At 43.9% G+C, this 24,978-nt stretch overlaps 1 protein-coding gene across 1 annotated transcript in view, besides 1 other annotated feature; it reads left to right on the forward strand.

Annotated features, from left to right (window-relative positions):
- The window catches only part of SLC24A3 (solute carrier family 24 member 3), a 510,285-nt gene that overhangs the window by 391,210 nt on the left and 94,097 nt on the right, over positions 1–24,978 (forward strand). The gene's annotated exons all lie outside the window — the stretch shown is intronic.
- Positions 16,196–17,109: an enhancer, noted in NCBI's record as "OCT4-NANOG hESC enhancer chr20:19600691-19601604 (GRCh37/hg19 assembly coordinates)". NCBI's record gives its function as "activates a minimal SCP1, AML or CMV promoter by ChIP-STARR-seq in naive and primed H9 embryonic stem cells {active_cell/tissue: H9 hESC(naive and primed)}" and the evidence as "EXISTENCE:reporter gene assay evidence [ECO:0000049][PMID:30033119]".

A 24,978-nucleotide genomic window follows, 5' to 3' on the forward strand; every position in this document is an offset into this window, starting at 1 on the left:
GTGCGTATGAGAGCAACTGAGCAATGGTAGCCTCTGTTACCCCTGGGTCTGTGCTGAGCCCCATCATTCACGTGTCTCTGTAAGGGCTTCGAAAGGAAGCTCAAGGCTCCCATGCTACTACATCATGAAAGGCAGCAGAGATGTCTGCAATCCCCGGGCAGCACAGTGTGGTCCAGTCACTTACTCCATCGGTGAGTATCTTCTGAGTGACAATTCTAGGGCTCGGGGATATGATGGTGACCAAGACAGGAAAGGCCCATGCTCTCAAGGTGCTTCTGTGCTGCCAGAGGGAAGGTAGATGATCAATAAGAAAAAATAAACCAGCAAGGTAATCTCCAGTAGGAGTGGTCTGAAGAGAGTAAAATAGGGGGACGTCAGGGCCTAGTGGGAGTGAGGGGCTGGCATGAGCCACCACAGATGGGAAGGGAACAAAGGCCTCTATGAAGAGGGAATCTTGGGGCTGAGACCCTAGTGGTATGAAGGAGGAGCCATGTGAAGACCTAGAACATTCCAGGAAGAGTGAACTCCCACTCCAAAGCCGTGAGGCAGGAACAGAGTGACTCGGTTAGGGGAACAGAAAGAAGACCGCTGATGCTGGAGAGCAGGGTCCTGGGTGAAGCCAAGGGCTAGGCAGGGCTGGGTGGGGGGTCCTGGGGCCTTGGTGAGCAGTTTAGTTGCAATTAGGACAATGATCTAGGAACTTGCAGTCCTTGGGAGCAGTGATAAATCACAGAGAGTAGAAAGGAGTCAGAACCCCCAGTGTTAACCTAGATCTCTGAAGGTGCTCAGTGGTTCTAAACTAGCTTATTGTCATGGACCAAGCATTGCTAACACGACCTCAAGTGTGAGCCTCCGCCAGAGCCCTGGATGCCTTTGAGTGTTCGCTCAAATCCCCCTACTGCAGGCTCTGAGGAATTTCCTCCATTACCCTCTGCCTACCCTCCTCTCTCAGGAGCTCTGCATCCCCACTTCAAAGCACCCCACCTTCCCTCAGTCTTTGTTCCATTCCTGACAGATTGTGCAGGTGGTCAGGCTTAACCGCCTTCTCCTCATTGTCTAAATCTCATCCTTTTTCCACAGGCTGTCAGCATTCCCCTCTTACAGGTGACCATTTTGATTAACGGATCCCAGGCTTTAGCATTTGCCACCCTCTCTCTGGGTACCATTTCCCTTCCATCCCATTTTGATATTAGAACACTCAGTCTGACCACGGCTTATGCTATTTTAAAGTATAAGAGTTAAATTAGGAAAAAAAACACGTTGGCCTCATCTCAATCCTGGAATGGTCCTAGATTTGGGAAACTCCCAGAGAGTGTGGGATGGTCAAAGATCAAGCAAAGAGATTATTTTCACCGTTTGTACAAAGTGTATGATTGATCAGATTTACTTAAGGCTCCATCATCACACAGTTTAACCACAGCTGTCTGATGTCTAAAGACTTTTACACTGTGTTTATTTCCAGTCCTTTCTCCTGTGATTTTTTTTTTAATCACTTACATCTACTGGCTAGTCTGTTTCCAATTAAGACTTCTACTAAGCTTTCTCTACGAAAGAGGTTTTTCTTTTCTTTTCTTTATAAAATGCATCCTTGGTATTAGAACGTAATAGCAACATATGAGTTTCTGAAGCTGAAGTCAACTGATTCTTAAAGATTCTTAGAATATATATTGGCTGCCACTAAGAGATTAATGTCAACCCCACAAGCCTGCCATATCAATTATCCCTATGTTTGTTCATTCAGAGCTGTAACACGTGCTGTCTGCTTTTTAATTCAGCATAGGCCTTCTTACATCTACCCATTGAGTCTCTGTTTAGTGACCTGATTTTTCGACGTCTTCCCCAGAAAGTCACAACCACTGCATTTTTAAGCTTCAGTTTTCCCCTTGAATCAACCCATCGAACGTGCCAAACCAAAAGAAAACTAATAAAATTTAATAGCATTGAAAAGAAAAACAAATTATACCTATCAGACTGCTTTTTTTCCCTAACTCCTCCACTCAAGAGGTTTGGGGAGACTGGAAGGGAAGAGGCTACACCTCTTGTCCTCTCTGCTCTGAATGACTGTGCCCACTTCTGAAGCCAATTCTGACACCCAGCCCTGAATTCCTAGTCTGGGAACAGATATTCTAAAAGCCTAGAAACATCCTCAGCTTTGGTCTCATGATATCCCCCAGCTGGACTTCCTATTTGGCCAGCATGAGCAGCAAAGCAAAAGAAAGTTGGCCAAACTGCCAGTTTCCCAGCCTTCCTCTCCATCAGGGCCTGTGGCAGCACACCCAAAACTGTGCTCAATAGATTCCTCTCCCTGAAAATTACCCAGGGGTGCAGGTGAGGCAGACCTGCCTGCCTGCCTGTTCCATGTGAACATACCACTCGCCAGTGTGCATAGCCTTGTCATGTTCTAGTTACTGCTGCCTGAGTGCTAGAGGCTTCCAATATGGGGAAGGATGACATATCATTTAAATTAGCTCCTTTTATGGCAGGAATGATTCTGGTTGACATTGGCTCAGGCAGTGCCCATAGAGATAATAGCAGTTGGTATTGATTTTATTTTTTATTTTGTAGCTCAGGGTGTTTAAAAATGTTTGGTGCTGAAATGCAAAAACACAAAATTTTTGCAGGGGATTTTAAGCTCCAGTAAAGCTCTAAAACCTCTCACTAAATTTGAATCTGGATGACTGCTTTGCAAATGATATTCATCTGACTTTGATGAGTGAATTTTTAAACTCAGGGAAGTAACCGCTTCTTTGTGCATAAATATAAATAGGAAGCATTTGTGAATCCCTCATATGTAGGAGGGAGATGAGAAAAGCAGGGACTTATAGGACTGAGAATGCAGAGGGAAGAAGGCCAGGGAAGGTCATGAACCAGAGGAGAATGCCCATGGCATAGAAGGATGTCAGAAAGCAGGAGGTCCAATCCCTCATTTTGCAGGTGAATGAACTGGTGGTCAGAACAGGGTGTGGCCTGTGCAAGTCCACACAGTGAAGAACTATCAAACTAGGACTTGAACCCCACTGTTCTGCTTTGGTCATTCCAGTGTATATGTGGACAGTGTGCGGCCAAGCCATGCCTCACACTTGGTACACCTGTCAACCCTTGTCCCTCTGCAGCCCCTCAGGCCCCTCTGTGAATTAAGGAAGAGAATGTAGGCATAGAAGAGGGTTGGACGTGTGAATGAGTTTAGATGTTTATCTTCAAGGAAGCCACCAGAAATATGAGTCAGTTCACAGACGTCCTTTGAGAACCCATAACATGGGACTTGCCTCCTTCTCCTGCCCTGATCCCCAATTGAAACTGATTCTTTAGACTCCCCATAGTTCTTTTTCCTGGACACCAATCCAGTGAACAATCTCACTGTGCATCCTCTCCACCTGCTGTACTCTATGGAATGCTTTCTTCCTCCTGAAACCCCTCTTTTCTCACCCCAAATGGTAGCATTCCTTCTCCCACAGAGATGCTCTTGGCCACACCTCCTTCAAAAGGGATGGTCTCATCTGATCTCATGACATCAGTCCCCTCCTCTGGCACCCCACTCCTCATCCTTGGTCTTGATTTTTCTCCCATCCTCATGACTTAGTTTACAAATGGGTGCCAGATCTTTCCAGCCCGGGCCTTCTGAGGCAGGCTCCAATTGGGGGTCTAAGCTATGAACTAAATTACTTGCTCATTAATGTACCATTTCACCTGAGTTCTTCTGGTACATTGGGTGCACCTTTGTGGTTTCTGTCACTCAGCCTTTAAGCCTCAGCTTCATGGCCGACTGTCCACATCCAGACTGCTGTCAAATCTAATCAATTCTTCCACTGTAGCATTTCTCATCCTGCCCCTTGCTTTCCAAGTCCACTGCACCATACACTCCAGACCTCCACTCTTGGTCAACTGGACTGCCAAAGTCCCCTCACCCCTGTCTCTCTGTTCTTTATCCTCTGCTCCATCAAATTCATTTTCATACTGATAAGGCTTCCTGAGCCTCCACTCTGACGTTGCCTCTTGCCTGAAAGGCCCCCTTTGCTGGTCACATCCCAGTAGCCCTTTCTCATGTCTAGCTGTCTTTCCCCTGTCCATATCTACAGCAGAACTGAACTGCTCGTTGTGTCTTACCTTTGTTGTCTTACCTGTGTGCTTGTGCTTATGTTGTTCTTCCTAACCAGAATGCCCTTTTTCATCTCTGTTCACTTCAACCCATCTCCCAATTTTAAAAGTGCAAGTCATTTTTGTCCTTCAAATCTGTAGTCTGTGTCACCTCCTGCAAGAAGCCTTCCCTGGTTTCCCCAGGTGGACACAATCTTCTCTTCTTTGAACTGCCATAGCAATCTTTCGGTTTTATCTTGATATTGGTGTGGGCCGATGATAGTCTTTAATAGACTCCTAAACTTGTTCGTCTGAATTGATTGTTCTGGTATTTGCTTTCTTTGGTGATGATGATATGGAGTAAGAGTGTATAGAAAAATACATACACAGATGACTGTTAATTAGCAACATAAGATTTAAATACATATTAAAGACCACAAGAAATGTGAAGTTACTGGTTGGTAAATGATTACCAAATGGATTGTACAGACTTCAAGATCCCAATGCATCATTCTACAACATGAGTTAAAGTCAGTCCTTTAATATCTGTACCATTTGCTGGTGTCTTCTCATTTAGGACACACAGTTCTATGAGAAGCATAACTAGGTAAATAACTTTTCTTTGCAGATTAGCAATACTTGCTCCATTTTTCATGTATGCTTTGGTTGTTTCTATAGAATGACCGTGTCACAATAAGGCTTTTAAAAAGAATAATAATATGTTTTTTAAGTTGTCAAAAAGGAGGGTGTAATGTATAATGGAGGCAGAGGTTCTTCGTTGATCTAAGTTCAGCATTCATTATCTGAATCACTGCTGTTGGCAGGTTGCATAGGAAAGCAAACTTGTCAAAACACACAATATTCACTAATGATCTGACCGCTTTAAAAACCTAGGCCCCCTCCTACTTTTTTTCCTGCTTAACAATAGCATCTCTCCCCATTCATTACATAAGCCAATTTTTGGCCATTTGTTGGAAATTGTAACATTCCCATAAAAATACAAACTGACTGCAAACTGAAACTGAAAATCTGGCAGAGATAGAGGGTTTCATGAGGCAGACGTGTTGAATGATGTCTCCATCCCACGTACAAAGGCATTAATGAAGGAGGCTCCTGCAATTGAGGAAGAAAAAAAGTCAAGGATGACAACCCAGGTTCTCTATCCCCCCAAAGAAAATGATACTAATATTAAAGGATCAGGATGGAGACTTGGAAAACTTGATGAAACTCTTGAATGTTTTTCCCCAAACTCTCTTTATGACCATGCAGGAAAATGAAATACGAAGGAGGGGGTTATTATCTTATGTTCTTCTACCATTTTATGGGGAAATTACACCAAGGAACAATTAACTTGGTGGCAGGACATGGTTGCTCTTATAACCTGATTTTTTTTTTTCAGTTATAAAGACTTTTATTTCTGTCCTACCACAATAGAGAAATCTTAATTTTTTAGTATTTATTTTTATGTATGTATTTATTTATTTTTTAATTTTACTTTAAGTTCCAGGATACATGTGCAGACTGTGCAGGCTTTTGTTATATAGGTATACATGTACCATGGTGGTTTGCTGCTATCAACCTGTCATCTAGGTTTTAAGCCCCGCATGCATTAGGTATTTGTCCTAATGCTCTCCCTCCCCTTGCCCCCCACCTCCAACAGGCCCCGGTGTGTGTTGTTCCCCTCCCTGTGTCCATGTGTTTTCATTAGAACCTAAATTTTTAAGAAAACATTAGGTTCACATGTTTTGCTTTTGAAGCTAAAATCTCAATGCAACCATTCTTTACTTATGCAACTTATTCCCATTTCAGGTAGTTTACCTGACCATGTCTTTTCTTTACCAGCTATCCTCATATTTATTAAGTTTAAATAATGGGAGAAGTGTCTTTCTCTGAAAAAGGACTTTGAGACCACAAAGAGTTTGGTTTGGAGCTGTGTGCCTGTGAGTCAGGTGGAAGTGATAGCAGTAACTGGAACTTTGCAGTGTTTGCCAACAAATGGAACAGACTTTCATTCATCTTAGGTTTAACCACAAATCCTCTGTTTCTACTCACTGAGTCAATACATCTTGAATCGCAGACCAGGAAACTCAGGTGGAAAACTGCTCATTTGTTTTCTTTATGAGCTAACTACAGTCCATCACCCCAATTCCAGTGAAATAAAGCTTTTTGTGACAGTTGGTACTTTTTTCTTATTTTTCTTTCCTGTTTCTTTTGTCTTCCTCGGCTTTCTTCTTCTCCTTTTCCTTCCACTTCCTTCTTATCATTCTCTTCATTCTCCCCTTCTTTTATTTTTCTTTTTGGTTTTCATTCTGTTTTGTACCAAATTGTTGTTTCAGTTACAAAGGAAAACATTGGGATCTCCTAGGTACAATTTTGCTTCTCCAAGGTGTACAACATTAATCTTAAAATAAACCCGAGAGATGAGGTGGTCTACCCCACTCTGGCCTAGAGACGGAACAGTGGGGCTGGGCTGGGACCCCACAGATGCACAGCCCCAAGCCACATCCTTAGGCAGCTGCCTGCCATGCCTCTTGAGGGATAGCCACAGAGGGGATTGACAAGAATCTAGGGATATCAAATCTTGGAGCCTTTTTTCTGCATCAAGTTTTGTATTCCCCAGAAGTAGGACCTCAGACAAAGATTCTAGAGCAGTTAATTTATTTGGGATAGGATCCTAGGAAACACTGAGTGGGGAGTGGGAGAGAAAGACAAAGGAGAGAATAAAGGCAACCAAAGGTGTGTTATCAAGCAGGTCACTGCTCTGGACACCAAGGTTTGACCCCATGGTGGAATCCTGGAAGATGATGGGGTACACATACTTCAGAGTGGCCACCTGGGGGGTCAGAGAGCTGGAATATTTGTACACCAGCTCCCATTAGTCAGTGCTGCCCCTTGAGGGTATCACTCCTGAGCACATCCAGCCTGGCCATGTGAGGGCAGAGTGGGCTCGGGCCACCAGGGCACTTGGACAGAGTTGCGGGCACTGGAAGCTGGAAGTCCAGCCCCCATGCATGGAAAGGGCTGGTAAGATATACAGGCAGGAACCAGCTGTATCTGCCACACACCACATCACAGAAACACACTGCAGAGGGCACAGCGTCCACTCTTCTACACTCAGGTAGGAAGATGCTGGCTTCACGGATGCTAAATTCCCTTTTCAACAAGGATGGCAGGAAGGGGTCCTAGAAGGCCAGGACAGACCTAGATCCAAGTGACTGCCTCACAGAAGGAACCCCATGGGGAAGGTCTCATCAATGCACTCAACAATGCAGATTCAACAGGCGGGCAGACTCAGCTTAGAGCAGAAGATGGATATCATTCAGCCCATCTCCACTGCAAGATTCCTCACTTCTCTGCCTTTTTCTCAGTCATTAGAGTGAAGGTCAAATCTATCACTGGAGTGGTTCTTGGAACAGAGAAGAAAAGAAGTGGCTGTAACCCGTTGAGAGATTTTTTGAATACAGGAGTCAGTCTGATAGCTCAACCAGGATTCTTGATCCCCACTTAGGACTCTCTAAGCAGAGTAGCCCATACATGATTGTCTTCATTTTCATCCATAAAGCCACTGGACAAATGGATGGAAATGGGAAAATATACCTGGCTGCAGCAGAGCCTTTGGCCAAGTCCAGAACCTTTCCAAAGGCTTTTTTGACTTTCAGGAATTGGGATGGTTTGTTCCTTCATCTGCCCTTCCACTAACCAGACCATCTTCCAGAATGGAAATCATAGTAAGAGTGCAGAATAATCTCAGGGTTCCAAGAGGACATTAGGGACTATTCAATCCAAATTTTCTCCCAATACAGTACTCCTTGAAGGGTCTGTTGGTCCCACACCTATCGGGCTGTGTCCCTTTGCTTCACAATCACTGCCCTTAGCAAGAGGTTCCTGCATGGCTGAGTCTAACACTGACCCTTGGCCTCTTCCTCCTTTACATAAAGCAGCCTTTGGCGCACTTGTTCACTCCTGGAATCGTTGCTTCCCGCAGCCTCCAGGCTCCCCGTTGCCCTGGCCATCCTCTTACCTCCCCTGCCTGCCCACCTTGGTTGCTTTTTCTCTCCTCCCCACTGAGGTGTTATGTCTTCTGACAATGTTCCTTCTCTCTCCACACTCGCTTTCAGGCTTGCGGCTTTCCATACCTTCTGTGCGCTGATGAGGCTAGCCACCCGTCCCTAGTTGTCTACTTGACAGTCTCAAATATGTCCAGACCTGCTCTCCTGGCCCTCCCCGCAACATCAAATCTTCTAAGTAAATGGTGTCTCCATCTTTCCAGCAGCTCTAACAAACCTTGGGGCCATCCTTGGTTGACCCTATGCCCCATATCCCATGTCAAAGCTAACAGGAAATCCTGTGGATTTACCTTCAAAATACATCCAGATGCAAAGTTACTGCTAGACGGGAGGAAGAAGCTCTGGCATTCTGTAGCACCACAGGGCGAATATGGTTGACAGTGATTTAGTGTATACTTTCAAGAAGCTAGAAGAGAGGATTTTTAATGTGCACAACACAAAGAAATGATCAATGTTCAAGGTGATGGATCTGCTGTGTACCCTGATGTGATCGTTAAGCATTGTATACATGTATCAAATATCACTCTGTATCCTACAAATATGCACAGTTATTTAATATCACATGTCAATGAAAAGTAAAAGGAAAAAAATAAAACTCAAGAACCCTTAAGAAAAGTGTGTGTGTGTGTGTGTGTGTGTGTGTGTGTGTAAAATAAATGTTTTTAAAAATACATCCAGAATCTGACCACTGTGATCACCCCCCCTCTGCTGCCATCTGGCTCAGCTGCCACAATCCCTCCTTGGGATGACTGCAGGAGGCCCCTCAGGGCTCTCCCTGTTTCTTTCCTCATCTCCTGGTGGGTGCTCTGTGCCCCACCAAGCACTCAGAATCGTGTCAGAAGGTCTGAGTAGAGCCACTCCACTTACACCCTCCACCAGGGTCCCATTGTGCTTAGAGTAAAAGGCAAACTCAGACTTCCTCACCTACAGTCCAACCCTTCCTCAGGTCCCTCCAGTCTCCCTGGCCACCTTGCTGTTTCCCACACGGTCCTGCCTTGGCACCTGCTCTGACTTTGTTCATGGACATCTGTGCCCCAGACTTCCAATGTTCTCTTCCTCATGACTTTCCAAATGTCACCATCTTGGTAAGGTCTTTTGTGGTCACCCTACTCACATGTTCACACACGTCCCCACCCAGAACCCCCAGTTCCCCTTCTCTGTCTTTTAAGTTTTAATTCTCCATCCTATGTATCATCATGAACATGCTGTATAATTTAAAATCTATTTGTGTATTATAAAACTTCCTCCAATGGGATGTGAGCATTATGGGGCAGACAGCTTTATCAATTTTGTTTCTTGCTCTATCCTCAGTATCTGAACAGTGCCCAAAATCCATTTGGTGGCTGAATGATGGCTGAACAAACACCATAATCAAGTGCCTATCCCCAATGGCTTATAGTTCAGGGATAAAGAGCCTACCATTTTACAAGGCACTTCTATTATTTTTTTAAAGAGTTCTTTTCTAAAGAGTTCTTTTTTAGAGTATCTTGCTGAATTCTCCCTGGAATGTGTGGCAGTTGGTTCAGTTTCTGCATTCTCTGCCAAAACAAAATACATCTATTCCCCGTTTTAATCAAATAATCTCAGATCAATTCCTGGGCGTCACTTCCACCTATGATGGAAACCGTTCTCTGCCTCTTGGCCTCAAGACACCTGTTCCTCCTTGGGATGTTCACGCATGGCCAATGTCTCCATTACAGAGTGGGACCCAGACCTGGAGGATATTATTCTCTAGAAGTGTAATGAACAATGCTGAGCATGGAGAGATGCCCACCTCTTCCCCATCACATGAAAAACCTTTTCACCCAGATGAAGGCTTCCTTGGTTTGCGTAGCTGTTGATGCTCACCCTTGACTCATGGGAATGTTTGAACAGCTCCAGTCTCCATGTATTTTTCCCATGCACCACCCTGTTCTATATTAAGATGTGAAATTCTTTGCGTTCAACCCGCTTACACCACCCTTGTTTGTCCTGGCGCAGACTGTTGACATCCTTTTAAATCTTGATTCTCTTATGCGGGGGCTGGCTCTGCCTCCCAGTTGTGTATATCCACAGATCTGATGAGCAGTTTCAACAGTGTGATGAGGGTGGGACAGTTTGCATCTGGAATCTTTAAGAGATTGCAATTGAGAGTGTGATTAAGAGCTTGAGATTTACAGCCAGACTGTTGGGACTAAAATCTATCTTTACCATTTGCTATCTGTATGAAGTTGAGCAAATTAATTAAATTCTCTGTGCCTCAGTTTCCTCAACTGTAAAATGGATTAATAATAATAGCTTTACCTCATGGAGTAATTGCATTAACTAAATGAGTTAATACACTCAGAGTACTTAGAATGGCACCAGCTATATAGAAAGTACTCAGTAAAAATGACCTGTTATTATGCTCTTGGACATGCAATATCTTTCTCCTAGAATGTGCTTCATGCAGGGCTGGGCCCCAGCCCATCCTCTCCTGGAAGCTGTCCCTTAGTGCCACAGGCCCATTGATTCTCCTTCCTCCAGATATTAGTTTTTACCACAGAACCTGGCAAAGATCGCTTTGGATCCCATTCCACCGTTCTTGCCCACTTAGCACATGTTATTCTGGGCCACAAAGATGGACTGTGGGCACTGGAAGAGCAAGTGCCATTGCACAGCAGGTTCTTATTAACCAAAGACGCAGCCCAAATTGTAGCGTTGGGAGAGTGCACTCGGTGACACTGAGGCCTCTGTTGTTGCCATGTGGATTCAAGTTAAAATGCCACTGACTCTACAGCTGCTGTGACTTTGCCTCTTTTCCTAAGTGGATCCTTGACCTGGATCACTCTGCTAAGAACACTAAGACTGGTAATCAATAATGAGGCTGGATTAGAAGGAAGATGAATGATCCACTGGGTTAGCGTTTAACAACCCAAATTGAAATTTGCTGGTGGGACGTGTGTGTGTGGGTATGTGTGCACTGTGATTAGTGAATCTCTTCTGTTTGCTCATCATCCAAACCATAATCTTTTTGTTAAAGCCGTAATCTTTTAAGCTTTAATTTTACAGACTATGTGGTCTTTAGCTTCATCCTTAAACAGATCTGTAAGGGTAAAGCATCTTAACCACCAAGTGGTTTGATTCCTTCTCCCATTGGTTTTGTTGTTATTTGGTTCAGATTTTCTTATGTTTTTGGTGGGGGAAGAGGAGAGTCATTTAAAAATATATATATCATGGAGGGATCAAATCAGAGTCCGGAAGTTGTAAATGAATTAATTAAATGCTGTCACCAGTTGGGTTCTCTGGAAGCAGACACGAAGACAGAGTTTTGAGTGCAAGATATTTTTTAATCAATACCTATGTTAGTCCATTCTCAAATTGCTATAACTAAATAGCTGAGACTGGGTAATTTATAAAGAAAATAGTTTTAATTGGCTCGCATTCTGCAGACTGTACAGGAAACATAATGCTGGCATCTGTTCTGTTTCTGGAGAGGCCTCAGGAAGCTTACAATGGTGACGGAAGGTGAAGGGAAAGCAGGCATATCACACGGCCAGAGCAGGAGCAAGAGAGAGCAAGGCAGGAGGTGCTACACACTTTCAAACAACCAGATCTCTAAAAAATTCACTCACTATCACGAGAACAGCACCAAACGGATGATGCTAAACCATTCATGAGAAATCCACTCCCATGTTCCAATCAGCTACCAGCACCAGAACAAAACAGGCAGAACAAGAGGGGATAGCTTTGCTTGCTGAGTCTTCTGGCTCTTTTATTCTTCCCACACTGGACCCTTGCTTCTGTTCCTCCTGCCCTTGGACATCAGACTCCAGGTTCTTTGGCCTTTGGACTCTGAGACTTGCACCAGTGGCTTCCTGGGGACTCTCAGACCTTTGCCCACAGACTGAAGGCTACACTGTTGGCTTCCCTGCTTTTGAGGCTTTTGGACTCAGACTGAGCCACTACTGGCTTCTCTCTTCCCCAGCTTGCAGACAGCCTATGGTGGGACTTCACCTTGTAATTATCTGAGCCAATTCTCCCTAATAAACTCCTTCTATAGGTACATAGATCCTATTGGTGCTGTCCCTCTGAGACCCCTAACTAATACAATGCCTGTGAAAGGAAAGGAGAGGAAGATGAAGTCAAGCCATGATGCAGGCTCACCAGAGTCCCAGCCAAGCTGACAAAGAGTTCTGGAACAAATATGGTTCATCCTGGAACCAAACTGCCAGGAATGTATACCACTGCCTCTGTGTCAGTGGATGTGGGCCTTCCAGGAAGGGTGTGATGTGGGCGAGGTAGCTCTCTGCAGCTGAGGCTGACCCAGCCCAGTGGAGCCAACAGCTTGAAGCCACCTGATGGCCACATCCCTCTGCAGCTGGACAGCAGATCCTTCCTTGCAGGGAGTTTGTGTGTCACCTCTCCATGCCTGCCACGTGTGCTTTACAGCCCTCTAGACAGAGTCATTCAGGACCTCTGAACACTCACAAACACTTAGGCAGGGGACAACATGTTAGGGGAGGTGGGGTGAGTGCTTGACAATTTTTTAACAAATGCTGTGACCTCCCAGTTCTCAGGCCAACTGTCCATCTGAGACGGCTAACCTAGATCTGCCCACCAATGCTGGGGCCACCCAAACAGTAGGCACTTGGACTATGAATGAAAAGTTTCCATGGTCAAAATCACCCCCAAGAAAATGGGTTCCAGGAAGTGTCTAATCATCTGGAGGACATGGGAAGATCTAGGGGCCATTTAGGAGTTTCGACCAGCAATGATGAGCCACTCCCTTAGGGATGTCAGTAGGCCTCCCACCTCTCATTCCCCTTCTGGGCTCTTCAGCCAAGAGCCCAAACCTGCTTCTGTCCAAGGTGCTACTTAGGCAGCTGAGAACCCCCTTTAGGGCCTTTTTGATACATAGGAGGAAGGAAAGAAGCAAACCATTTCCTGCAGATGCCCCGAGTTCTCCGTTGGGCAGAAGAACCATGGGCCAAACGCCTACTCTTTCTTTCATCCATTCAATGTTTGTTGAGTGCCTGTTTGTAGTGAACCAAGCAGATGAAGCCCCTCCCCTCATGAGCTTTACATTCCCTGGAATATATGGTGCATCAGACACAATGCTGGAGATTGCACGTGAAGTCAAATGGAATGACCCCAGCCTAGAAAGCAAACAATCTTATGAGTCAAAGCTCAAAATGAATCTGACTTCATAGGGCTCCTCTCGAGCAGATCCTTTCAATTCATTTTCCCTGGACTCTCGAGTCTGATGAAGTATGAGAATCTAGACGAGGCCGTGGAGCCTGCCTGGTGGCCTGCAAGCCAGCGCATCTGTGCTGTGCCACCCACCTCTGCTGGTAGTTAGAAGGACAAGGACAGCATGCCCCTAAAGCACCTCTGAGTGTCACCTGGAGGTGTTGGGCAAGAAGCTCCCATGACTGTGGCAGCCACAGACATGCATTCAAGCCCTTCTCCCGCTGCCTCTAGCAGTGAGGAAGGGAGCAACACCCTGGGACTCAAAGCGGCAGGGCTTTGAGGTGTCCATTGGAGCTGGCCTTGGTATCACAGTATTTTCTTCTCACGTAGGCTCAGGAGACATTGTCCATGACTTTTGTTTCAGGGAAGATCTGGAGAGGCAAATGGTCATGAAACCTCTGCTGTTGCAAACCAAGACTGCCTGCAGGAGGGCGGCTTGGGCTTTCTTTCTGAGGTCTGGAGCCAGGGACTGTTCCCAGTGGGGAAGTTTGCTGCCCACAATCTCTATCCTAAACCTCATATTCCCAGATCCCATCCCTAGCCCATAAGTTTCTGCCTGTCACAGCAGCAATTATAAAAAGAGGGATTTAATAAAAAGAATAGTGGTGTCCCAGCAGGAATTTCCAGTCCACGGTTCAGACGAGGCGGCATGTTACATAATGAAAAGACTAAAGGGCCCTGGGACTTTCTTTTTGATCTCCAACTTCCAAGCCAGATCCTGGGGAGCTTAAAAACTCCTCTCATCTTATTTTAAATGATCTCATTTCAGGTTTTGTTGTGTTTTTGTTTTTTGTTTTTTTTTTCCTTCTTCACTTTAAATTGACTTCTCCTCCTAGCATTTCCACGGAGCATCTACCTGGAAATTCGCAGGAAAGGAGTGTCAGCCTGTCCTAAAACATGTTTGGTACTAGTGGTGGGGAAAGATGGGGAAGAAGGTCACTAGTGGGGAGCCCACTTTCCAGCCCCAGCAGTGGGATGGGTAAGAGTCAGGCTGTCTACATCCAGGTTCCAACTTCATTGCTTTGTTAGTCTACTTGGGCTGCCATAGCAAAGCACAGCAGAGTGGGTGGCTTACACAACAGAAATTTATTTTCTCACACTTCTGGAGGCTGGAAGTCTGAGATCAAGGTGTCAGGAGGGTTGCTGTCTTCTGGCTTTGCCTCCTCACCTTGCAGGTGCCGTCTTCCCCCTCCCCATGTCTTCACAGGCTCTTCCCTCTGTGCATGTATCCTAATTTCCTGTTCTTATAAGGACACCAGTCATATGGGATTAGGACCCACCCCTATGACCTCATTTTAACTTTAATTACTTCTTTAAAGGCCCTAGCTCCAAATACAGCTGCCTTCTGTGATACTAGGGGGTAAGACTTCAACATATGAATGTTGGGGGAGAGAGAATTCAGCCCGTGACAACCATGTACCAACTAGGTGACCTTAACCAAGTGCTTTTTAAGCCTCTTGTGCCTCTGTTACCACATACGAAAAATGGGCACAGTGATAGTGCTTCCTAGTGGGATTGTTGTAAAGATTAAATGAGTTAATACCTCGTGAGTTAGGTATGATCTAAAACAGTGTTGGGAACTGTTACTTCAGATGAAAGCTGAGCAAATTCTCAAGGCATAGCCCTTTCATGCTTATGATCCATGGGATCGAGGCATGCCCAACTTTGTCCTCAGATCCAGAAAGCTTGTGTGGCCAGTTATTTTTACTGTTGGAAAGTGCTGCGTTGTTCAGATTCCCACAAACCAAACTGTAAAACCACGGCAGGGTGAACCACCAGGGCAGCCCAGAGCTCCAGCCAGCTACCCCACTTTGCTCCCCGAGTGCCCCACATCCCACCCTGCCTGATTACAGAGGCTTAAAATGTGACAGCAAATTATTTTATTCTCCTCCCTCCCATCAAAAAGTGGCATCTAATTACCCTTCTCTTGATAAGGAGCCAGCTCAGCAATTCCCTTACAGCAAATATGAGACATAAGTGACCTTGCATGGCTCCCAGGCTAGGTCAGAAAAAGCATTATGGCTTTCTCCTTGGTTTGCTCTCTCTCTTTTTCTTGGGACATTGATCTTTGGAGCTGGTAGCCACCATGAAGCAAGCCCAGCTACCTGAAGGCACCGTGCTGAAGAGACCATACATGGAGAGAGATGCTCAGGGAGCCTCAGATGTTCTCTCCCCAACTGTTTGAATGTTTCCAGCTGGGAAGCCAGACTCAGAATATGTACTATGCATATGATTTCAGCCTGCAATCCTCAAGCCACCCCAATCGATGCCAACTAGAGCAGAGATGAGCTTTCCCGTGGATCCATAGGATCTGTGATCATGAGAATGGTTGTTTTATGCTACCACATGTTGGAGTAACTTTTTAAGCAACTGACATTACTGGAGCATAGATACATAGATAAAATCCAGCCACTCTCAGACAAGGCAATGTGGGTGCTTCTCAAGGCCCCTAAACAAGGAAGTGCCTCCAGCTCCTCCCTTTGGTGCATTGGGTTGTAGATCTATGATTATGAGCTCTACATCCTTTTTTATTAGTATACGTTGTATGTATGTTATTAAAAACTGCCAGAAGGAACTTCTGTTTGTTGGTGAATGACAGCTGATAGGGTCTTAAAAGAAGACCAAGTCTGATTATGAGATGGCCGTGCGGGTAAAAAGTGATGTGTACAGATTAAACTATGGCAAGGGAAAATCTTGGCTGAGGGGAAAGTTTATCAAGAAACAGGTTTGGGGGATACCTATGGTTTTAAGATACTTTATTCTGCAGGGAAAAAATCTCCTATGACTCACCAAAAGGGTCACAAGACCACCCACCTTGGCCCACCAACCCTCTTTTGCATTTTCAGAGGAACTGGACCACTTTTTTCCTTGGCTGACTCACTCCACAGTCTCCAGTGTTAATTTAGACATCCCATCAGTCTATCTAGCCTGAGGGTCTCCCAGCACAAAGAGGCTATCATCCTGCAAATCCACCCATGACACCTTTACTAGTTAGGCAGATCTTTTTATCAGGGCAGCTTCCAGCATGTTAGAAATAAGATTAAACGATTACTCTTTTTCCTTTGGAATAAAAGAAATGATGATTGGGGAGTCTTAAGTGTCTGTGTGTTGTCAATCTTTTTTGGGGGGGAAAGCTTGAAGAGATAACGATTGTATTCAAGCATCTCAAATTCAAGGCTCTTTCAAAACCAGTATATTCTGCAGTGCTCTGCAAGGAGAAACATTACAGAGGGTGAGAGATTAGGCGTTATTAAGAGAAAGAAGCTGAAAGAGGAAGAAATGACCTTGCCAGACCCTCAGCAGTTTGACATTAAAGCTTGGCAACAAAGCAGAAGTTCACCAGGGAGCAAACAGCTGGAATATTCACACCAGTTGTCCTAGCTGTCACTGGGACACTAGCACATTCTTGGGGAAATCCAGATAAGGCCCCACCTGCTGGGACATTAGCAGGTCTTCTGTCTTGTGTTTACAGAGCAGCTGGATGATTAACGCATGTGTTGCTTACCTGAGAAATGGAATTTGAGCTTCTGTCCTGGGAGAGAGATGAGAAAGGAGAGAATATCTGTGGGGCTGGATGAGGCAATAACTCTGGCCTCATTTGCAGTCTGCCTTGCAAAGACAGAGAGGGAGAGAATGATGGGGTTCACCAGCTCTCATTGCATTTACCAGAAAAAAATGTTTGCAAAGCCCAGACATTTTTCAAGGGACCTGAGTTTTCTGCAGAATGAAAATATTACTAACTCTGAAAAGGCTTCTTACTAGAAAAGTAAAACTCTCCAAGCTGCCAGATTCTTTTTGGAATGAGTTTGATGTGAAAGGTGCCTTAAGATCATCTATTTTCTCTTTAGTGGCCATGGAGAGTTCATTTTCTAGACTCTGCGCCCACACCATTTGCAGGTAACAAAAGGAGGCAAATAGCATAATTTCCAGCAAACACAAAAGTAAAACACTGAACTTCCTGTTCTTAAGAATTCTTCCTGATTAACATCTCCCCATCTGTGCCTTCCTCTTTGTGCAGCAGTCATGCAGGATGCTTGAGTGGATCTCCAGAGACTGACATTATCAAACCAATGACTCAAAGCAGGCTCATTTCTCCCTATGTCTCTTAGCTCCTTGATGGTTACCCTGACTCATCCCCTCAACAGTAACCCCTTAGCCCTTAGACCTAACTTCCTCAGAAGTAGATTTGTAGAAGGGTTGTTGGTTGGTTTGTTTAGTTGTTTTTAACTAAAGATACTTAATACTGTTCCCCTAGGAACCCTCTTGACCCTCTTGGTTAGAGTGTGTTGGTTCTCATCCCCTCGGGAATTTCCAAATGCATTCAGTAGATGTTCCTTTTTTGTAGAATTCATGTCCCTTAGGTATGTCCCTGGTATCTTTTTACTTCTAGACCAATGTCTCTCCCATTTTATCATGCACATGGATCACTGGGGATCGGGTTAAAATGCAGATTCTAATTTGAAAGGACTGGGATGGGGCCTGAGATTCTGCATGGTTCCAGGTATGGCAGCTCCTGGGTTCTGCTGCTGCTGCTGTACCCAGAACCACATGAAAGAACAACCTGTTGGACGTATCCAGTCTTCTGCTCTTTCCGTCTTCCCTGGAACCCCTGGCTCCACCATTTCTCCTTAGAAATGCTCCTCTTAGCTGTTATGTTTGTGAAAGATCATTACTAGGAGGCATTAAAGCCCAGAAATGCCAAATCTCCTGGTTGCCAATGCAGATCTGTCATGCTCATCAGCCCCTGCCCACCCCACTTTAAATATGGATTGAGCTCCTCCCCTGTGCCAACATCAGGCAAGATGCAGGGAGGTGATGGGTTCTGAGGAGCTCTCCTTAGGGAGTTTTTGTGCACTTGCAGAGTCAGGGACCCAGAAAGAAAACCAGATGAGAGAGCAAGAAGTAAAGGACTTCAGTGCATGATTGCACTAAACCAGTGCCACGAACCTTCAGGAACTTGAAAGGAGACTGGGGATGGAACAATCAGAGGCTTGGTGCAGAAAAAGAAACTGGAGCTGGGTTCTAAGATGTATGGAGAAGGAAGCAATGTGGAGACCAGAGTGAACTCAGGCTCACTGGAGGAATGAGCATGGGGCTGTTAAGGGCTAACCTGTGGAGAGCTCAAAGTCTATGGAGAAGGAGAAAACCAAGATATTATGGCTGGGTCATTTCTAGAGTATCCTTTAGTGAGCTGGTAAAAGTGTTTAGTGATAGTTCTCTGCTTGTCATCAAACTAGTGCTATAATTCACACCCTTTGAGGTTGAGTTTCTGATCAGAAAGAGCTGAAAAAGGAAAAATATATTTCAGGGAGCATGGTTCAACACATTTTCACTCTCATTCTTGGAGTCTGTGTCGACTTTTGAGAAGGTCATTCACAACACACCATGCTTTGGGCTAAACTGGGGAATAGAGTATCTGAAAATAAACTTAACATTCCAACCATGCTAAATTATTTTCCAACCCTGGAGCATACAGGTGAGTTCAGATGAGTTCAGTTGTGTATTAGCCCATTTGTGTTGCTATAAAAGAAATACCTGAGGCTGGGTAATTTACAAAGAAAGTAAGTTTATTTGGCTGTCAGTTCTGCAGGCTATACAAGAAGCATGGCACCAGCATCTGCTTGTGGTGAGGGCTTCAAGGAACTTCCACTCATGGAGGAAGGAGAAGGAGGAGCAGGCATATCCCATGTCAAGAGAGGGAGCAAGAGAGAAGGAAGGAAGATGCCAGGCTCTTTAAACAGTCAGCTCTCGTGTGAACTAATAAAGTGAGACTCACTCATTATTGGGGGTGGCACCAAGCCATCTGCCCCTATGACCCAAACACCTCCCACTTGGTCCCACCTCCAACACTGGAGATCAAATTTCAACATGAGATTTAGAGGAGACAAATATCCAAACCATAACAAGTTCTAACTGTTTTTTGTTTTTTGCTTGGTTTTATTTTTTAAACAAAAAAAGCTATCAAATACAGTGACTTGAATTCAGAGTCTTTAATTGAACAAGTGGCTCCCATGGGCTCTGGACATTGAAAAAGCCAGCACTGCAGGCCCATGTGTCTATTGCCTATTTATCAAGATGGCGGCAAGTCTAATGCCATAAATGCTTTCTCAAAATGAATGGCTCTTGGCAGTTGAGAATTTTGTGTGCTCACCACCAGCAGCAAGCATGCTCAGCTCTGAAACAGGAGCTGCAAAGGACCATCAAGGCTGTGGCTAGTTTGCAAAGGCTTACCTTTCCAGTAGCTTTAGATTTTTATATTAGTAATGTCTATTAGAGGTTCAGAATGTATTGGGGTTGGCCAGCACAATGCCATCTAGAATTCTGCTGTCCAGAATGGTAACCACTAGCCACATATGGCCACCCAAACTTAAATTAATTATTTTTTAATTAAAAATTAATTTCCTCAGTCACACCAGTTATATTTCAAGTGCTCAATAACCATATGTGTTTAGTGGCTACCATATTGGACAGCACAAGTTATAGACTATTTTCACATCACAGAAAGTTCTATTGAGCAGCTGCTCTAGAAACTAATCACATACATTGTCTTAATATCCAGTGGTGGGTGGAGAATGGGCCTGCCAGGGTATGAGCGAAACATCTGTGGATGAAGAGCAAATATGTGTCCCTAGGAAGAAAGACCACACCAGTATGATACCAGGTGGACTAAGCTACATACCAACAGCACAAACACTTGGTGGCCAGCCACATCCCTGAGACTCAGGAAGAAGAGGGGGAATTGAAGAGCATGCTTTCTTCTCCACAAAAGCCTCCTTTTCCTGAACTGGCCTGACAACTCCTTCTCTTATCACAAGCCAAGGCACACCCCTTTCTCAAAAGAGCCAAGGCCTCCAGAAATCTTTTCAGATCTCACCTCCTATTACTATACTTTGCTTCAAGAACTTACTTGCTTTGTCTGGGTACTTCTAAGCTATTGTTTTCAAGTATTTTACCTGTCACCTGCGTTTCTTCTCAGTCCCTTCTCTCTGATGTTTTGATTGGACTCCCTGCTTGGTTTGATCTTGCCTTGGCCTCTAAAGGTCATTTTTCCAAAGTCACTCAGTGACAGCTCTGTAGGCAAGTATCCTGGAACCCAGCATTCTAGAACTCAGGCCTAGAATAGTTCCTGAGATGCCCACTTATCTGGGAAGGAAATGCACACATAGTGGCAGTATCAAAATAAAGTTGTATGTATGAGACAGCTATTGCTGTGTAACAAAAAGCACCTGAATCTCAGTTGCACACAAGAACGAACATTTATTTCTCACATGTCTTTCATTCTGGGGCCCAGGACAAAATAGCAGCGGCTACTCAGGGGGAAGTCTTCTCATGGTGATGGCAAAAATACAAAAGGAAAAGTGAACTATGCCAGGCCTCCTAATTTTAGGCTCAGAGCTGGCAAACCATCACTTCCACTCTCCTTCAGTGTCCAAAGTAAGTCACATCAGCATGCTCAAAATCAAGGGGCTGGGAATCACATTCTATACTTTACAGGAAAAATTATATAGTTACTGAAATAGGGTGTGAGTTCACACTGTGCATGACCACTTATTTAGATCTTGGGAAGAGGAAGTGAGCAGGCAGTCAGTCATACAGCTCCCACTCATTGAGTTCTGATTTTGTGGATGAGTCTACATATTATCATTTATCTATTGCTATGTCACAAACTATTCCAAGATTTATTGACTTAAAACAACAAATTTTATATAGCTCATAATTTTTCGGGTCAGCAATTTGAGCTCAACCCAATGGAATGGTTCTTATGATCTGGGCTGATCCTGGCTGGGTTTGTTTAAATGTTTCAGGCTGGGAAGGCTGCACCTCACATTCTCCAGCAGGCTATCCCAGGCTTGTTCACACAGTGTAGTGGAGAAGTTCTTGTCATAAGAGTGGATGCTCAAGCCCTTTTAAAACCTAGGCTTGGAACTGAAGCCCCATTACTTCTATTGCATCCTATGAATTAAAGCAAGATAACAGATTCAAAAGAGGAATTGGGGAATAGACTCCACCTCTTGATGGAATGATGATCAAAGAATCTCAGATTCTTGTTTTGCAATCTACTAGATGAATCAAGGATATATATTCCATTACTGGAAATAACATTATAAGGCTTGGTCCCCATCCAAAATTTACCATATAGAGGCAACTTGAGTGACACATATTAAGTGCAGATAGAGTTTGGAAGATGTATTTCCTTCCTCAGTTACTCCCTATACAGTGGGACATCTTTGCTTGCCCTGTCTTGATGAGACAATGTCAAAAGTATGTTGAAGTTATATAATATACTATGATGGCAGCCAGTTATTGCCAACTCAATATCATACCAGCAATTCACTGGGAAAATTCACTGGGTCTGAATTTACTAAGAAAATCCCCATGTATGTCCATCGTCAGTATTACCACCTGTCAGTTCTTTTCTAAGGGATGGAGTTGCAGCTGCTAATAACAGCTGTCAATAACAGCTGCAATCATAACCCTAAATCCAAGTTTCTATAGTTTCATTCTTTCTGGGAGCCAAAATGACTGCAAACATATATTTTGTCATTTATTCCTACTGAGGTATGTTTATTCAGAAACAGTTGGGCACAAGTGAATGCAAGTAATAACTCCCTAAATATATATATATCTTTCCCTGAAGTCCCAGTTTCCCATTTCATCCCATCAAGAGTGTTAATGCAACACTTTCTCTTACTTCAGGCATTGTAAATCTATTCATCTGATTCACGTTTCTTTTGGATTGTTCCTTTCTCCACCTTTATTGAATTCTATTTTTCTTCCTATTTATCTAGGGGCATAGTTTATTCATTTTTCCTGAGTTTAGCCCACCTGACTATGGCTTTATAGCCTGTTTGTGAATTGGTTTTAGTAATAATTATTATATTTTAATATTACTTGGATTCATAAAACATTAATTTTCAACTTACAGTAGTCACTAAGTCCAATCAAAATCCATCAGAATTCAGATAGAAAGGAAACCACATTCCAAGCTCTATAGTAAGACTTGACATGATCCTGCTCATCTTTATGTCAGTCCAGAAAGAAATGCATTATTACTTCCATGTTTCAGCTGAGAAATCTGAGGCTCAGATCAGGGAAGTACCTTTTCTATGTTCCAGGATAGGCATGAAGCAGACCAAGAATATTCTTATCATTTTTCCTGATGATGAAACTGTGATGTAAGTTACATATAGAGAAAGAAATTCCAATATTTTTCTAAAAGACACTTATTTTTGTACATTGTTATTGAAGGTGACAGAAAAGGGTGTTGAGTTGAACAGAATAAAATCCACCTTTAGAGTAACTATGCAACTTATTTCAAGAGTAGGTGAATATTTCTTGGTCCTATTCTCCTGGGTTCTAAGTAGTTCTTCCCAGGAAAACATAAGAGAGATTACGTTTAAGTAGTTAGTGCTTCCTTGTAAATGTATAGTCCTTAATGCTGGTGCTCTGTTTCTACCACAGCCTGAAAAATATAAAATAACTCTAGTGGCTTTGCTCCATCTCATAAGCATCCTTATCACCAAGTACCAGGAGTAAGAATGAGCAGTGTAGATGTGGAGGAAAAACATTTGTTTTCATGATCTTAGTCCCCCAGTTCTACTGAAAAGGCCTTGGGTATTTTGATTACTGACAATATACCTATTTGATCATTCCTCATCCCTTGCAAAATGAATATGGGCTGTCACGTAGAGCCAGTTGAATACTGTGAAAAGATCACAGTGGAAAGTCTTAAGGGCGACCTTGGACAAGAACCTGGATTCCTGCTTCTAACTGAAAACATCCTACAAGGTTATACAAACTGGTAGGAAATGGCTGACCTACTGGAGATCTGCAGATTGATCAGGAGCGAAGCCACTTAGAGCGTATCAGATTCTCTTGTTATCTGCAAAGCAGGAGTGAGTCATTTCATTGAGCTGTTGGCATGCAACAGGCACTTAGGAAAGATCTGACGAAGTGAAAGTATCCATTTGGGACCCATTCTATTCAAATATGTGCCTACCCTCAAGATGCATGTATCTGTCTGTGTTGTTTCTTAGAAGTGGTACAACCGCACATAAGCCATTCTTCCCAACCACTATCTTCTTCATTTTAACATGTAAAAATATTGTTATTCCATTATGTCTAAATTCTTCATTTTCTTGACTCTCCTACTATCTCCATAGTATTTCCACATGTAAGATGTAGGCTTTTGTGAGAAAAAGAGAATTCCTTTAATTTGTTTCAGCACTCATTAACCTAACGTGATTCTTGACCATTCTACATGGAAGTCTACTTACACTTTCCATGGACACAAAGGAACCTTGATTCTTATATTTACTTGGCAGATGGACTGAGGATGGGGGGAAAAAAAGGCACAGAATGAAAACAAGTAAATATTCTGGGGTTCAGGGAGATTATGATAAAATAAATAAAGGAACAACAAGCTGTAAGAAGAAAAGAAAAGAATAAGTCATGCCTGATCAACATTATTTTAATTGTTCCACTACATTAATTAATGGAAGGAGGAACACCATGGTGCCCACCCTTGAGAAGAATGTTCTGTTGAGTGATTTGTGAAACATTTAACTATCACATTCATTGAACAAGTATAAACACAGAGTAGTAATAAGTGACAAGGATTCTATAAGGAGATGTATATTAGCACAGGTAGGAGCAAATTTGAAGTAATTTCGAGGAAAATGTAAATCAGTCACTGAGAAGAAAATACCCTCAGCTGGGAGTTGTGGCTCACTCCTGTAATCCCAGAACTTTGGGAGGCTGAGGCGGGCAGACCACGAGGACAAGAGATTGAGACCCTCTTGGCCAACATGGTGAAACCCTGTCTCTGCTAAAAATAATTTTTAAAAAAAATTAGCCAGGCATGGTGGGGCACGCCTATAGTCCCAGCTACTCGGGAGACTGAGGCAGGAGAATCGCTTGAACCCAGGAGGCGGAGGTTGCAGTGAGCTGAGATTGCGCCACTGCACTCCAGCCTGGCGACACAGCGAGACTCCATCTCAAAAAAAAAAAAAAAAAAAAGAAAAAGAAAAAAGAAAAGAAAATAATCTCAGCCTGCAGAAGTGAGAGCACTCATATCACTGATGAGTAGAGAGAGCATCAGTGATTTCAGCAAGATGGTGGAACAGGAAGCCCCAGGTCCTTCCCCCATGGAGACATTAACTTAACAACAATGTATAAACCACATTGCCTTTGTGAGAACATCAGAAACCAGTTGACAGGTTACAGGACCCCAGGTGAGTACAACACCAAGAAGAGACACATTGGAGGAGGGAAGAACATTTGTTGGACTTACCTACTATATCCCATCCTCCAAACTCATGGCTTCTCCTTCAGGAGGAAAAGAAAAAGGCAGAACATGCACCCAATGCCTGGATTTTGGGGGTGCTTCTCAGGGGACTGGTTGCTTTCTTGCCTGACCTAGAATGCTGGTGGGGAAACAGCACACTTTTGATACCTGGGGGCCACTGAGAACCAAGGCAACAGTTCTGCTTGCTACACCACTACCAGAGAAATTAAAGCATCACAGACAGACACCAGGGGGAGCTACTGAGTAGAAACAGGCACACCACTTCAGCTGGGAAATTATACCTGTAGGCCCAGAGATGATGCAACCGCTGGGAAGATT

This window comes from Homo sapiens, chromosome 20 (genome assembly GCF_000001405.40).
Source record: "Homo sapiens chromosome 20, GRCh38.p14 Primary Assembly".
Taxonomy (NCBI): domain Eukaryota; kingdom Metazoa; phylum Chordata; class Mammalia; order Primates; family Hominidae; genus Homo; species Homo sapiens.